The 16,803-nt window shown below is 34.1% G+C and overlaps 1 annotated feature.

The window, feature by feature from the left end:
- Positions 3,004-3,204: a silencer, noted in NCBI's record as "peak4382 fragment used in MPRA reporter construct". NCBI's record gives its function as "represses an SCP1 promoter by STARR-seq MPRAs in K562 erythroleukemia cells {active_cell/tissue: K562}" and the evidence as "EXISTENCE:reporter gene assay evidence [ECO:0000049][PMID:32103011]".

The raw sequence follows: 16,803 nt of genomic DNA, 5'->3' as shown, positions 1-16,803 counted from the left end.
CCTTCTTTATCTCTTCTTGTAGTTTTTGTCTGGAAATCTATGTATAGCTTTTCCTGCTTTTTTTTTTTTTTTTTGGTTTCTGTTGGTTTGAAATATTTTTTCCAACCCCTTATTTTTAGTCTATGTATATCATTATAAGTGAAGTGTTACTTACAGGCAACAGATCATTGGGCCTTGTCGTTGTTTTTTCTATTCAGCCTCTCTGTGATTACAGTTGTGAGCCATGCATGCGCAGCCAAGCTCTTAATTCTGTTTCATTGTTCTGTATATCTTTCTTTATCCTAATACCATACTGTTTTGATTACTATAGCTTTGTAATATGTTTTAAGTTAGGCAGTGTGATGCCTCCAGTTTTGTTCTTTCTTCTCAAGATGACTTTTTATATCCTGAGTCTTCTGTTGTTCCATATGAATTTTAGGACTATTTTTCTATTTCTAAAAGAAATGTCACTAGGATTTTCATGGGAATAGAATTCCAATTCTTTGTGTAACATAAATATTTTCACAATATTAAGATTCCAAAATATAAACATTATACTTATTTCCATCTGTATGTGTCTAATTTCTTTCACTAATATATTATAGTTTTCAGTGTAAAAAAAAAAAGTCTTCTACCTCCTTGGTTAAGTTTATTTCTATTTTTAATGGGATTAATTCCATTATAAATGAGGTTGATTTAATATCCTTTTCAGATTGTATGTTGTTAGTATATAGAAATACAAATGCAATTTTTTGTAGGTTGTATGTTGATTTTGTTTCTTGTAAATTTATTGAATTTGTTTATTCATTGTAAGTTTTTTGTTTTCTTTCAGATTTTTGCAGTAGTTTCAGTAGAACTGGTACCAGCTCTTCTTTGTATGTCTGGTAGAATTTGGCCATGAATCCATCTGCTTTAGGGTTTTGTTTTTATTACTGATTCAATTTCAAAGCAAGATATTGTTCTGTTCAGGATTTCAATTTCATTCTGATTAAATATTATGAGTTTGTGTGTTTCCAGGACTTCATCCATTTCCACTAGATTTCCTAGCTTGTGTGCATAGAGATGTTCACAGTAGTCCCTTAGGATCTTTTTTATTTCTGTTGTAATGCCACTTTTGTCATGTCTGACTGTGCTTATTTGGATCTCTCTCTTTTTTGGTGTTAATCTAATCTAGCTGTATTGATCTTGTTTATCCTTTTAAGGAAGAAAATTTGGGTTTATTGATCTTTGGTGTGAATTTCTGGGTCTCAATTTACTCTATTATCCTCTGATTTTAGTTATTTCTTTTCTTCTGCTACTTTTAGGGTTATTTTGTTATTTTTTTACTAGTTTTCTCTAAGGTTCAATGTTTGATTTTTAATTTGAGATTCTTCTAACTTCTGGATGTAGGTGTTTAGCATTAGAAAGTTTTAACACTGCTTTTGCTGCATTCCAGAGATTTTGGTATGTTGCATCTCTATTTTCATTAATTTCAAGTAATTTTTTATTTCTGCCTTGACTTTGTTGTTTACCCAAAAGCAATTTAAAAACCAGTTGGTTGATTTCCATGTAATTGTGTGGTATTAAGAGATCCTCTTAGTATTGATTTATATTTGCATTCCACTGTAGCTGGAAAGTATGCTTGGTTTGGCTGCAATTTTTAAAAAAATTATTGATACTCCATGGCCTAGCATGTTTGGTCTTAGAGTATGTTCTGCATGCAGATGAGAAGAATTTTACTCTGGTTGATGCATGGATAATTTTATAGATCTCTATTAGGTATAATTGTTCAAGTGTAAAATCTTCATCCAGAATTTGTTATTTTTCTGCCTCAATGATCTAACACTGCCAGTAGGGTGATGGTGTTCCCAACTGTTATTGTTTGTCATCTACAATATTTCATAGGTCTGAAACTACTTGTTTTATGAATCTGGGTACCCCAACATTGGATGCATATATATTTACTGTAGTCAATTTTTTCCTGTTGAATTGAACCCTTTATTGTTATGTGATGCCCCTATTTGTCCTTTGACCGTTGTTGGTTTAAAGTCAGTTTTATCTGATATAAGAATAGTGACGGCTACTATTTTTGATTTCCATTTGTGTGGTAGATCTTTTTCTAGCCCTTTACTTTGAGCCTATGTGTGTCATTACTTATGAGTTGGGTCTCTTGAAGACAGTAGTTGGATGGGTCTATTTTTTTAATCCAACTTTCCACTCTGTCTTTTAAGTGGGCTATTTAAGCTATTTACATTTAAGGTTAGTAATTATTTGTGAGGTTTCGAATCTATCATAAAGTTACTAATTGGTCGCTTTGTATTCTTGGTTGTGTAGTTGCTTTAAAAGGTCTCTGGGCTGTGTGCATATATTTATTTTTGTGGTAGCAGATATTGTTCTCTAATTTCCATGCTTAGAACTACCTTAAGGATCTCTTATAAGACTGGTCTGGTGGAATTCCTTTAGTTCTTGCTTGTTGGAAAAAAAATTTATTTTTCCTTCACATATTATAAAGTTTAGTTTGTTGAGATATAAAACTCCTGGTTGGAGTTTCTTTCCTTTAAGAATACTGAAAATAGGTCTGCAATCTATTCTACCTTATAGTGGTTCTGCTAAGAAGTCCATTGTTAGCCTGACAGGGTTACCTTTGTATATATTTGGCCCTTTTTTCTGGCAGTCTTTGATTTTTTTTTTTTCTTTAGTGTTGACCTTGTGTAGGCCTTTTTTTTTTGTTTTTTCTTCCTGATTGTCTTTAAGATTTTTCTCTTTAGTGTTGACCTTGAAACCTCGTGACTACATGTCTTGGTGATGTTCATTCTGTATAGCCTGTCCTAGGTTTTGTCTGAATTTATTGTATTTGGATTTCAACCTCTCTAGCAAGATTAGGAAATTTTTTCTTGAATTATTCCCTCAAACATATTTTCCACATTGTTAACTTTTTCTCTCTTTCTTTCAGGAATGGCAATAATTGGTAGGTTTAGTCACTTTACATAACTCCATTTTTAAAAAAACTTTGTTCATTTTCTTTAATTCTTTTTTCTTTAATTTTGTCTGAATTTGTTTGAAAAACAATTTTTCAAGATCTGAAATTTTTCTGCTTGGTCTGTTTTACTGATAAAGCTTTCGATTGTATTTTGTAATTCCTTAAGTGAGTTTTCTAACTCTATAAACTCTTACTGATTTATCTTTAATGTGTTCATCTCTTCTGTCATTTTCTGGATTGTTTTAATAGTTTCTTCGTGTTGATTTTCAGTCTTGTCTTCACTATGTTGAACTTCCTTGTCATCCATGATTTGAATTCTTTATTTGTTATTTCTGAGTTTCCCTTTTGGTTGGGGACCAGTGCTGGAGAGATAGTTTGATCCGTTAGGGCTGTTACAACATATACATTTTTCATGGACATGCTGGCACTTCTAATTTGTGTAATCATTTTCATGCAGATACGATTATTCCCTTTCTTTTCCTATATTACTGTTGGTTTTTCTTTCCTCTTCCAGGTGGTGTGACTGTAGAGTAAAATGGGTGGGGCTCTTTAGTTTTGCTTCTATGGCCCTATGCACCTCTGTCAGCAGCTCTTACATTGGGATGTGCCATTTGACCTACAGGCCAATAGATAATGCTAACCTACGAGAGCCAGCCATGATACAAGCAGATCAGTACATATCTCATCTTTTAATTTTACTGTGAGGTACTCTCTGTTGTTTCAGGTGATGGGTTGGATAGTGGTGAGCCCGGTGCTCTTTGCTTCTTGCTCTATGTTGGTGGGAGGACAGAGTAGGGCAGAGCTAAAGTCCCTGCTTGGCCCACAATTACCCCTATGGCAAGCACAGGCACCAGCCCCAACGATTGTGGCTGGGGGAAGCTCCTGGTGAATTTTGCTGAGGCCTTTGCTGGAGTATGGGGGAGCTGCACCAGCTCCTCATCATAGGGAGTCAGAAATGTGGACTGTTGCCCTATCACACCCCTGTTCTACAGCTGTGACTCTTAATTTAGATCTTACAATGTGGATGTGAGACTTAGGAAATGTCTGATTTGTGATTCTCCTTGAGAATGGTTTTGGGTCAGAACTTCATCACTCAGCCTGATTCAGATAAGTTTGTGGCTCTCCTGTTCTCCAATGTGGCAGTACTGCTTCTTCATGTAAAGCAGGGCCTCCACCTTTGCGCTTGCGCAAATGTGGTTTGGTAATAGTAATGGCTGCCTCAGCCCGACCCCAGGTCCTGAGGAAGGTGGTCAGGTGCCAGCAATGTTGGAGTGGGGTGGGCAGTTCTCTAATTCTCCGGTCCCTAGATGTCCCACTGGACTGTGTGTATGTACTGTGTGTATGAGTCCAGAATCAGCCTGATGGGAAAGAAAGGGTTCAGGTTAGCCCAGGGCTCTGGTGCTGGCCATGATGGGAAGGAATGGGCTTGTCCCAGGGTCACAGGCTGAACTCTCAGGCAGGGGCAAGCAGAACACTTAGGCTATGGAAGTGAAAGAGAAGACCATGAGTGCTTGAAGGCTGGGTTTCCAGAAGGTCTCTGGGCCACAGCTGAAATCCTCAGATCAGGGAAAAGTGGGTGCACTGAATCCAGAAGGAAATAAGCCACAATTACCATTTTTTTTTCTTTTACTAATAGTCCTTTTGGTTGCAAGTCTAAAAACTCTTTGTTTAATTCTAGATACTAAAGATTCTTTATTAATTTTTTCTAATATTTTAAATATTTTATTGTGTTACATTTTACATTTAAGTCCATGACCTATTTTGAGTTAATTTTTATGTAAAGTATGATGTTTAGGCTGTGGTTCTTCTTTTAAATTTTTTTCTTTTATTTTTTGCCTATTAGTGTCCATATGACCCATATGATGATGAAAAGTCTATCATTTTTCTATTTAATTACATTTACAACTTATTAAGAAAGGCCGGGCGTGATGGCTCATACCTGTAATCCTAGCACTTTGGGAGGCTGAGGCGGGCAGATCACGAGGTCAAGAGATGGAGACCATCCTGGCCAACATGGTGAAACCCCATCTCTACTAAAAATACAAAAATTAGCTGGGCGTGGTGGCACACGCCTATAGTCCCAGCTACTCAGGAGGGCTGAGGCAGCAGAATCACTTGAACCAGGGAAGCAGAGGTTGCAGTGAGCTGAGATTGTGCCACTGCACTCCAGCCTTGTGCCAGAGCGACACTCTGTCTCAAAAAAAAAAAAAAAAACTTACTAAGAAATTAATTGGTCATATTTGTTAGGGTCTATTTCTGACCTCTCTATTATGCTTTATTTATCTATGTGTCTATTCCTTTCCTCAATATCATATACCCTGTCTTGAATACTGCAACTATATAATAAATATGTAGTATTTATAATCTGTACTATATATTCATATTGTAATGATATGTATTATTATAAATATATATTTATGTTATAACAATATGTATTATATGTAACATATTTATATTATAACAATATGTATTATTTACTATGTAGTAAACATACTACTATGCATATAGTTAATATGTGTGTGTGTATATCTATTATACATGTATATGTAATATAAAGTGAGGACTACTTAAAAATCATGGTGTTATTTTAAAGTTAGAAGAGAACATAGTATGAGACATTTTTGGGGATAATATAGCAGAGGAAAATATTTTTACATATTATGTAAAAGTTATTTAAAAATTACAAATAAATGAACTCATGCATTTAATAAATTCCAATTTAATGTTGAATGATTATGTTCTATTAATATTGTTATTCAACAATATTATTAAGAATATTTTGTTAAAATATTCTTAATATTTATTCTTAATATTAATAAAATATTTTATTAAAATATTCTGATTTTACATGTTTAATAACATTATTAGTGTTCTTTTCCATTTTGCAGAAAATAAGATGATCACAAAAGTAGCTGTTATTATTATTGTTAAATCTAAACTCAACTGCTTTTTTTAATGACTACTGCTATTTAAGCTTTCTGTCTTGAATTATACACCACTGCCCACATGCAGTTAGCATCCATTTCTTTAGTAGATAGATTTATATATCCCTTTGGCTTCTTTAATAAAGATATAATAAAGAGATTTAAAATATCTTTAAATAAAAGTCTTATAAATGATTTACATGTGGAGACTCGCATGCCTAGTATCATAGAAATATTTGAATCAATATACTAATGAGCAAGGTACTCTAGACGATTAAGATATTCCCTAGGGACTCTTTAGGCACTTCTGAAAACAAGTTTACAATTTTGAGGACACTTTTGGACCATTTAGTGCAATGAAGCATTAGTTATTTAAATGATACCCTCAGGACCTAAAATAATTAAGTGGCATTAAACTACTTTCCAAATTTTCACATATAAATTTTAAGGACTCCTATAAACAAAAAGATCATATACATGTTTTATGTCAGTTGTTGTCATCAACTAAGTTTATATCATTGTTATTTTATATTACAAAGTGACAAAAACCTGGGAAGAGATTCTTTAAAGCCATCTACTTGTGTTCTCAGGAGTCTACATATTTTCCTTCTGTTGATTCATTAAGATAAAAAAATGCCAAATTCTCTGTGATATCTCACAGGTAATTTATAGTTTATTTTCAGATAGCCTTCAATACGATTTCTTATTGGCCAGTTTAAATCCTTTATTTCAGGAAAATTGAGATAAAGTGATAATGGTGTTTAGCATATTGCTACCTAATAAATAAGACAAACTTCAGAATTCGCTTATTTTTCTATTAATATTAGTTCTTATCACTGTAAAACTCCTTTGTAGATCTTCTAATTACATTAATACTTTAATAAGCCACTGGTTTCCATTGAGCCCTTTTCAAGTTTGTTCTGGAGGTCAGAAAAAGGTAAATTAACCAGACTCTGACCATGAGTCTGATAATATGCATAAAATGGCACTTAATTTAATAGCAAATAAAAAATAAATGTCTGTTTAGCAGATGAATGATTAAGTGATTGTACACTTTGGCAGTTCAGTACAGAGCCAAGCAGAATGAGCTTGACCTCAGCTCTGTGATCTTAGCCTATGTAAGCCTTAATTTCTTCTAGTAAATAGCTTTGCTAAATGTAAATATGTTCTCTTACATATTTAGATAATATCACTCCATGAGAGTATATCATCGTTTTAAAATAATCTTAATAAAAGAAAAAAGTGAAGAATATAAATTCATATGCAGCCCCCTATATTATGCAGAATAATTATGTAGATCAAGGATCTGCAAACTCTAGTCACTCCCCCAAATTTACCTCACTGCCTCTTTTGTAAATAAAGTATTATTAGGAAATGGTTATACCCATTTCTTTTTACATAGTCTATGGCTGCTTTTGTGCTAACATGGCAGAATTCAGTATTTGAAAGAAACCTTATGGCTCATGATATTGACATGATTTACTATCTGACTCTTCACAGGCACACAAAGATGTTAGATATCTGATGTAAATTATACAGAAGAAAAGATATGCAGAAATAAATGCAGTACTGAATAGATTTAAATTACATAAAAAATAAGTTAGCATTCTGATTTTTTTTAAATGTACAATATGTCAAAGACATTCACATCTACAACTAAAAGCTGATAAAATCAATGTTTCTTTAAAATTTGTTAGAGGCAGGGCACGGTGGCTCACGTCTATAATCTCAGCACTTTGGGAGGTCAGGACTTCAAGACCAGACTGGCCAACCTGGTGAAATCACCTCTCTACTAAAAATACAAAAGTTGGCCAGGTGTGGTGGCACACGCCTGTACTCTCAACTACTCCAGAGGCTGAGGCAGATTGCTTGAACCCGGGAGGCGGAGGTTGCAGTGAGCTGAGATTGTGCCACTGCACCCCAGCCTGGGTGACAGAGTGAGACTCCCTGTCAAAATAAATAAGTAAATAAATAAAAATAAAATCTGTTAGGCTTGCTCTGTGAAATATTAATATGTTTATAATTTGGGGGGATATTAGTGCAAGTAAAAGAGTAGATGTTAAATCCAGAAGATATTTAAATAATAAACAGTGTTGAACACTGCATTTTGACGTGCAAATAGCAATGCATATTAATATTATTTTAAAACAAAAAAGAGACTATGCAATCATCTCCAAAACAGATGCATTTACAAAAGTAAATGTGTATTATGTCACAAAGCAAACCTCAACATATCCCATGTAGTAGAAATTGTAGTTTTTGTACAAACTCCACAAAATAAAAAAGCCTAACAGTGAAAGCAAAACAGCTATAGATATTTACAATTGAGTTTTAAATGTCTAAAAATTATATACTCAAAGAATAGTTCAGGAAAAAAGTTACACATTTTATTAAGAATAGCAATAGAAAAAACACAGTATATAAAATCTAGCCAAAGATGTAATAATAAAATGCATGCTCTTGGACCTTTTTTCTTACAAAATAAAATAAAATTTATGAAGCATCAAATGAGGGGAATAGCTATCACATTGAAACTACAACAAAATAAACAAGCATGTAAATGCCAAAATTAATTAGAATTCAGTTGAAAGCAACATAATTGATTATAAAATTCAAGTATTCTTTCTTGGATAAGGATTTTTAAGACCACAAGCTGATTTAATTTGATGTAACCTATTAAATGATATATAGAATAAACCTGAGAGACAGGTAAATCATTATAACTGGGAGGTGATACATATTTAATAATTAATTAGTTCAATAGATGGTTAGTTTCAAGGAGATCTAAGGTATTTTAGAATAGGGGAGAGGATTAATTATGATTGATGAAAGGGAAGTGATAGTCAGAAAGTGAAAGATTTAAAGTTATGTTTTCAAAAGTGTTAATGTATATTATATCTACCTTTTGAGTTCACTGGGAATTAAAAGGACGGGAACTTAGCAAAGAAAAGATATCAGTGCTTCTCAAATTGATCTTCACACTTAATGTAATTCCTAGCAAAATTCCAGCAAGAACATTTGTTGACACAAATTATATCTATCATTTATTTGTAAAAGTATGAGCCCCAGGATTGCTAAAACAATCTTCAAAAGAATAAAGTAAAAGGGGTCATTCTATTTTATGTCAAGCCTTATTACATAATTGTAATAAGACAAAGTAGTACTGACAGAGTAGAAACAAGGATCAATGTAGTAGTATAGAAAACCCAGAAATAGACACATTTTTAAAAAATTCCCACATTTATTAAGGTATAATTTAAATTAATTATTATATATTAAATATGATGTTTGATGTATGTATAATGAAATTATTAAACAAAGCTGATTAGCATAATCATCTCACATACTTGTGTGTGTGTATAGTTAGAACACATAAAATCGACTCCCTATGCAATTTGAAGTATATATTACGTTATTAACTATAGTCACAATGCTTTACAATAGATCTTTAAAACTTATTTATGCTAACTAAAACATTGTACCCTTTAGCCAACATCTGCTGATGTACTCCCCCACCCACTGATGCCCTCAGCCTCTGGCCACCACTATTTTACTCTCTGCTGCTATTGAATCTACTATTTTGGATTCCATATGTAAATAAGATAATACAATATTCACCTTTCTGTTCGTGGTTAACTTTACTTAGCATAATGTCTTCCAGGTTCATCCATGTTATCACACATGAGAAGATTGCCTCCTTTTAAAAGTCTGAGGACTAATCAGTTGTGTGTGTGTGTGTGTGTGTGTGTGTGTGTACACTACATTTTCCTTATTCCTTCATTTATTGATAAACAGTTGGATTTCATATCTTGGTTATTGTGCATAATGCTGCAATGAACACAGGAGGACAGAGGACAGGAATGCAGATATCTATTCAACATACTGATTTCATTTCATATATATATATATATATATATATATATATACCCAAAAATGGAAATGCTAGATCATATTGTAGTTCTACTTTTCTTTTCCTTTCTGTAAATCTCCATACTGTTTTCCATTATGGCCATACTACTTTACCTTCTCAACAACTGTGAGTAGGGATTAATTTTCCTCTATATTCTCAATATTTTGTCTAATAGTCATTCTGACTAGGGTGCAGTGATATCTCATCATGGTTTTATTTTTCATTTCCCTGATGATTAAGAATATTGACCATTTTATCATATACCTGTTGGCCATCATGATCTCTTCTTTTGAGCAATGTCTGTTCAGGACCTTTGCCCATTTAAAATCCAGTTATTGGTTTCCTTACTGAATTGAGTTCAATGTGCTATTGAAGTTATACATTTTGAATATTAACCACTTATCAGATGTATGATTTCCAAATATTTTCTTCTATTTTGTAGGTTGTCTTTTTATTCTGTTTATTGTTTCCTTTGCTGTACAGAGCTATTTAATTTTGTGTGATTTCATTTCTCTATTTTTTACATTTGTCACATGTGCTTTTGGGGCCATGTTTTAAAAATTATTGCCCAGATCAATGTTAAGAAGATTTCCCCTGTTTTCTTCTAGTAGTTTTACAACTTCAAAACTTTTAAGGATTAATCTATTTTGAATTGATTTTTGTTCATAATGTCAGATAAGAATTTCATTTCATTCCTGTCCATGTGGATAGTGTATTTTCCCAATACTATTTATTGAAGACATTTCTTTCTTCATTGTGTGTTCTTGACATCTTTATTGAAGATCAGTTGACTGTGAATGCATGGATTTATTTCTGGGCTTTCTATTCTGTTCCGTTGGTCCTATGTTTATCTTTATGCCAGTATCATGCCAGTTTAATTATTATGGTTTTAGAGCATATTTTAACATCAGATACTGTCCTGTCGCCAGGATTTTTTTCCACTTTGACCATGAAATGGTCTTTCATGGTGTTATATAAAATTTAGGATAGTGTTTTCTATTTCTCTGAAAAATTTTATTGTAATTTTATTAAGGATTGCTTTTAAAGCTGTAGATCACTTTGGGAAGTATGGATCTCTTAACAATAATGAGTCTTCAAGTTCATGAAAAGAGGATACCTTTCCATTTGTTTATGTCTTCTTCGATTTTTTTCATCAATGTTTTTTGGTTTTCAGTGTAAAGATCTTTCATCTCCTTCAAAAAATTTATTCCTATGTATCTTAACTTTGCAGCTTTTGTAAGTGGGATTGTTTTCTTAATTTCTTTTCTGAATAGCTTGTTGTTACTGCTATGTAAATGCTACTTATTTTTGTATGTTGATTTTGTATTCTGCAACTTTATTGAATTTGTTTATTAGTTTTAACAGTTTTTTGTTGGAATCTACAGGGTTTTGCATATATAAGATCATGTTATCTACAAATAGGTAATTTTACTTCTTCCTTTCTAATTTGAATGCCTTTTATTTATTTCTCTTACATAATTGCTCTGACTATGCCTTACAGTTCTATATTGAATAGAAGTGATTAAGAATGAACATTCTTGTCTTGTTCCTAATCTTATAGAAAAAGCTTTTAGCTTTTCACTGTTAATTATTAGTATTAGCTGTGGGCTTATCATATATAGTACTTTCTTTATTGAGATAAACGTCTTCTGTACCTAATTGGAGAAGAGGCTTTTTTGTGTGTGTGAGAGAGAGGATGTTAAATTTTGTCAAATGCTATTTTCTGTGTCTATTGGGATGATTGCATGCTTTTTATCCTTGATTCTGTTGAATTGATGTATCATATTTATTCTTTTGTCTATGTGAAACCATCTTTGAATCCCAAGATAAATCTTAATTTATCACAGTGTATGATCCTTTCAATGTGATATTGAAGTTAATTTGCTAACTTTTGTTGAGGATTTTTTGCATTCATTGTTGTCAGGGATATTGCCTATAAATTTTCTTTTCTGGGCTATCTCCTTGTCTTGGTTTGGTATTAGACTAATTCCATCCTCATAAAATGAGTTTAAAAGTGTTCCTTTCTCTTTACTTTTTTGGAAGAGTTTAAGAAGGATTGATATTAATTTTTGTTATATGTTTGGCAGAATTTACCAGTGAAGCCATCAGGCTCTGGGCTTATCTTTGTTGGAAGTTTTCTGATTACTGATTTGATCTCTTTACTCATCATTGTTCTGTTCAGATTTTCTAAGTCTTTATGATTCAGTTTTGCTAAGTTTTATGTTTATATGAATTTATCAATTTCTTCTAGGTCATCCAATTTGTTGGCATGTAATTGTTCATAGCAGTCTCTTATGATCTTTTGTGTTGCTGTGGTATCATTGTGCTGTCTCTTCTTCCATTTCTAATTTTATTTGATGTAATCTTCTGTTGTTCTTTTTTAACTTTAGCTAAAGTTATGTCAATTTTGTTTATCTTTTTGAAAAATTAGCTCTTTCTTCAATTTACATTTTTGTAGTTTTTCTAGCGTCAATTTTATTAATTTTTTTCTCTGGTCTTTATTATTGTCTTTCTTCTGAATCTTGGCTTAGTCTGTAATTTCAGGTTATTTGAGATATTTTTTCTTTCTGATTGTAGGCATTTATCATTAAAAACTTTTCACTTAAAACTGCTTTTGTTGCATTCCATAAGATTTGATATGTATTTCAATTTTCATTTATCTCAAAATATAATTTTAAAAATTTTCCTTCTGATATTTTTGATCCATTGGTTCGATCAGGAACATATTGTTTTAATTTTCACATATTTGTGAATTTTCCAATTTTCTTCCTGTTGCTGATTTCTAGATTCATACCATTGTAGTCAGAATATAAACTTGATACAATTTCAATCTTCTTGAATTTGTTAAGACTTGTTTGGTGGACTAACATTTGGTCTATCTTGCAGAATGTTCAGTTGTTCCTGAAAATAATGGGTATTCTGCTGCTGTCGTATGTAATGTTTTGTATACTTTTGGACTATAGAGTTATATGGACTACAGAGTTATTGGTGTTCACTGTTTCCTTATTGATTTTCTGTCTGGATGATTTATCTATTGTTGAATGCTAAAGTTCTCCACTATTATTTTATTGCTTCTGGTTTCTGCTTACATTTCTGTTAATATTTGCTTTATATATTTAGTAGTTCCAGTGTGGGCTACATACATCGTAACATTACGATATCCTCTTAAGAAACTGACCATTTTATCTTTACATAATGACCTTTTTGTTACTTTGGACAGTTTTTAACTTAAAGTCTGTTTTGTCTGATAGAGGTATAATCTTACCTCTTCTCTTTTGGTTACTGTTTGCACAAAGTATCTTTTTCAGTCCCTTCACTTTCAGCCTATGTGTATCCTTAAAACTAAAGTGAATCCCTTGTAGACAGCATAGAGTTTGATCTTACTTTTGTTTGTTTTTTAAATCAATTCAGCCAACCTATGTCTTTTGATTGGAAAATTTGTTTCATTTATTTTAAAGTAACTACTGATAAACAGGCAAGGGCTTACCAATGTCAGTTTGTTAATTGTTTTCTATTTCACAAGCCATTTGTTTTACTCTTCCTCTGTTGCTGTAGTCTATTGTGATTTGTGGTTATATGCTTCATTTCCCTTTTCTTTATTTTTCATGTCTCTACTCTTAGGTTTTCTTATTTCCTTTGTGGATATTATGTGGCTTATGTAAAACATTTAATAATTGTGATGGTCTATATTATGCTGAGAACAACTTCAACTATGTACAAAAATCATCTACATTTTAACTTCCCTTCCCCTCACATTTTATGTTGGTGATGTCTCAATTTACATTTTTATATCATGCATCCATTATCAAATTATTGTAACTATAGTTATTTTAATCCCTTTGTCTTAAATACTTTTGAGGTTTAATTGGACATTCATCATGTGATAGGAAATGTCACTTATTTACTTCCTTCAAATCAACCGACTGTACCTTTAAGTTCCATTAATAAAATCCCTTCAGTTATTTTACTTTCCACAACAAATAACATTTCTGCAATTGGCAAGAATTCTTTAGCACTCAAAGACTAAGGTCTAAGTTCAAAGGCTAAAGTGTCCCTTGAAAACTCCTATATTTACCTTTGTAACATCATCTTGCTTTGAAGATATAAAATACATCTTTGAATGACTATATTTGTGGAAGTTTCCTGACATATTTGCTAATGGAGATTCTTGACAAAGTTAACTTGGTCAATACTTATTGACAAGTTTGACAGGGATTTATAATCTTGTCAAAAGTCTAACAGCTGTCAATATATGACAGAGTAAGTATTATCTGAATATTAGAATTGTTTCAATATTTGTTTTCTCTGTGAGCTTTTACATACCATTATGCTATTTATTAAAAATAAACATTTTCTGGCATTGACATGCAATAATGACAGCACAAGCAGAATGCTTATAAATAACAGCTGAGGGCCAGAAAACTAGAAAGATTATTGGCACCTCATTTATTCTGTTTAATCAAACAAATGCGTTTGCCTCTGTTGATCATATTGTGCATCTGGACAGGCACAGACATTACCAACCTAAGGCAGAGCTGCCAGCATGGAAGGAAAAGAAGGGTCTTCAAATATGAAAATGATTAAGGCAACATTCCCATTCATCTTCAACTGTGGTAGAAAGAGAAACTGCTACAATTCCAAGCAGTAATGGAAATGAGCAAGATAATTATCCTCTTTGCATAACATATACATAATTTAATTGAGCCCAGTTTTCCTCCTAAATTCCAAAAGGGAGGTCCTTCTTCATGTCACAAAGTTTACCCTGGGAAATTCTTCCCTATTCAGTATATTCCCTGGATGCCAGGAATTACATTGACTGTAAAAATCTCACTTATTTTCCAAACATCATTTTAAAATGTTCCATTAAAAATCATTTTACCAGTTAGTACTTCAGTTTGTTTTCCTACCAAAACTGAGATAAAAAAAAATCAAAGCTATGTTTTCAATCCATTTGAATGTTTAATAGTATACAGACTAAAACATGCATGTGCGTGCACAGGTGCACGTATGGAACCATACACACAAATAAAACAATGATAATAATAAAAAAAGAAAAAGTTGTGATCACCAATCATTGTTAAAAAGGGATTTTGGGAAAACAAACAGCTACTTATTTCCTTGGTTTCCTTAACATATTTTTAAGAAGATATAAATAGGGTTGAGTTCAAAATCCATACATGTATTTCTATTCCAAACTTTTGATAATACAGACATAAATGCAAAATGATTTTATTAGTTATATATTTATTTTAAAGGCATTTATTTTTATATGAAATAATAATATTCTCTACTTCCCAAAAACTTTATGTTTAAAAGTTATTTGAATGTCATTTTTTGGAAACCTCAGGTAGTTATCAATTATGAAACAGTATGAAGAAGCTATGCCTAAGATATTAATATATTTATTGGCTAAGAACCAATTTTTGTCCTATGAATGTATGAATCTATTTATTTTCTATAAACTCTCCTTTTTTCCTGAATTTCACAACAATATGTGTTCAGCATATAAAATTTGAAAAGTACAGTAAAGCATAAAGAAACCGCTCATAGCTACTTATGATTTCAATGCCTTCTCAAAGAGAGAAAACTCCTGTTGAATTTGATTTGCAATTCTCTTTTTTAAAATATTTTAAGTAAAATATATGTTTCAGAAAAATAACTGTGATAATTCCCCCACATTCCTGCATAAAATAACATAGTGAACTACTCCACCAAAATGTTCACCCATTGGAGGAAATACATACTAGAAGATAGTAGTATTGTTTGGACATTTGTCTCTGCCCAAATCTCATGTTCAAATGTTCAGAGGTGACAGCGTGCTGGCAGTCCTCACAGCCCTCGCTTGCTCTTGGCGCCTCCTCTGCCTGGGCTCTCCCTTTGGCGGCACTTGAGGAGCCCTTCAGCCCACCGCTGCACTGTGGGAGGCCCTTTCTGGGCTGGCCAAGGCCGGAGCCGGCTCCTTCAGCTTGCAGGGAGGTGTGGAAGGAGAGGCGTGAGTGGGAACCAGGGCTGTGCATGGCGCTTGCGGGCCAGCTGGAGTTCCGGGTGGGCGTGGGCTTGGCGGGCCCCACACTCGGAGCAGCCGGCCGGCCCTGCTGGCCCCGGGCAATGAGGGGCTTAGCACCCTGGCCAGCGGCTGCGGAGGGTGTACTGGGTCCCGGCGCTGCGCTCGATTTCTCACCGGGCCTTAGCTGCCTTCCCGCGGGGCAGGGCTCGGGACCTGCAGCCCGCCATGCCTGAGCCTCCCACCCTCTCCGTGGGCTCCTGTGCGGCCCGAGCCTCCCTGATGAGCGCCGCCCCCTGCTTCATGGCGCCCAGTCCTATCGACCATCCAAGGGCTGAGGAGTGCGGGTGCACTGCGGGGGACTGGCAGGCAGCTCCACCTGCAGCCCCGGTGTGGGATCCACTGGGTGAAGCCAGCTGGGCTCCTGGGTCTGGTGGGGACGTGGAGAACCTTTATGTCTAGCTCAGGGATTGTAAATACACCAGTCGGCACTCTGTATCTAGCTCAAGGTTTGTAAACACACCAGTCAGCACCCTGTGTCTAGCTCAGGGTTTGTGAATGCACCAATCCACACTCTGTATCTAGCTACTCTGGTGGGGACTTGGAGAACCTTTGTGTCTAGCTCAGGGATTGTAAACGCACCAATCAGCGCCCTGTCAAAACAGACCACTCAGCTCTATCAATCAGCAGGTTGTGGGTGGGGCCAGATAAGAGAATAAAAGCAGGCTGCCCGAGCCAGCAGTGGCAACCTGCTCGGGTCCCCTTCCACACTGTGGAAGCTTTGTTCTTTCGCTCTTTGCAATAAATCTTGCTACTGCTCACTCTTTGGGTCCACACTGCTTTTATGAGCTGTAACACTCACCGGGAAGGTCTGCAGCTGCACTCCTGAGCCATCGAGACCATGAACCCACCAGAAGGAAGAAACTCCGAACACATCCGAACATCAGAAGGAACAAACTCCAGACGCACCAACTTAAGAGCTGTTAACACTCACCGCAAGGGTCCGCGGCTTCATTCTTGAAGTCAG

This window comes from Homo sapiens, chromosome 21, assembly GCF_000001405.40.
Source record: "Homo sapiens chromosome 21, GRCh38.p14 Primary Assembly".
Classification (NCBI taxonomy): domain Eukaryota; kingdom Metazoa; phylum Chordata; class Mammalia; order Primates; family Hominidae; genus Homo; species Homo sapiens.
This window is presented reverse-complemented; position numbering and strand designations above follow the sequence as displayed.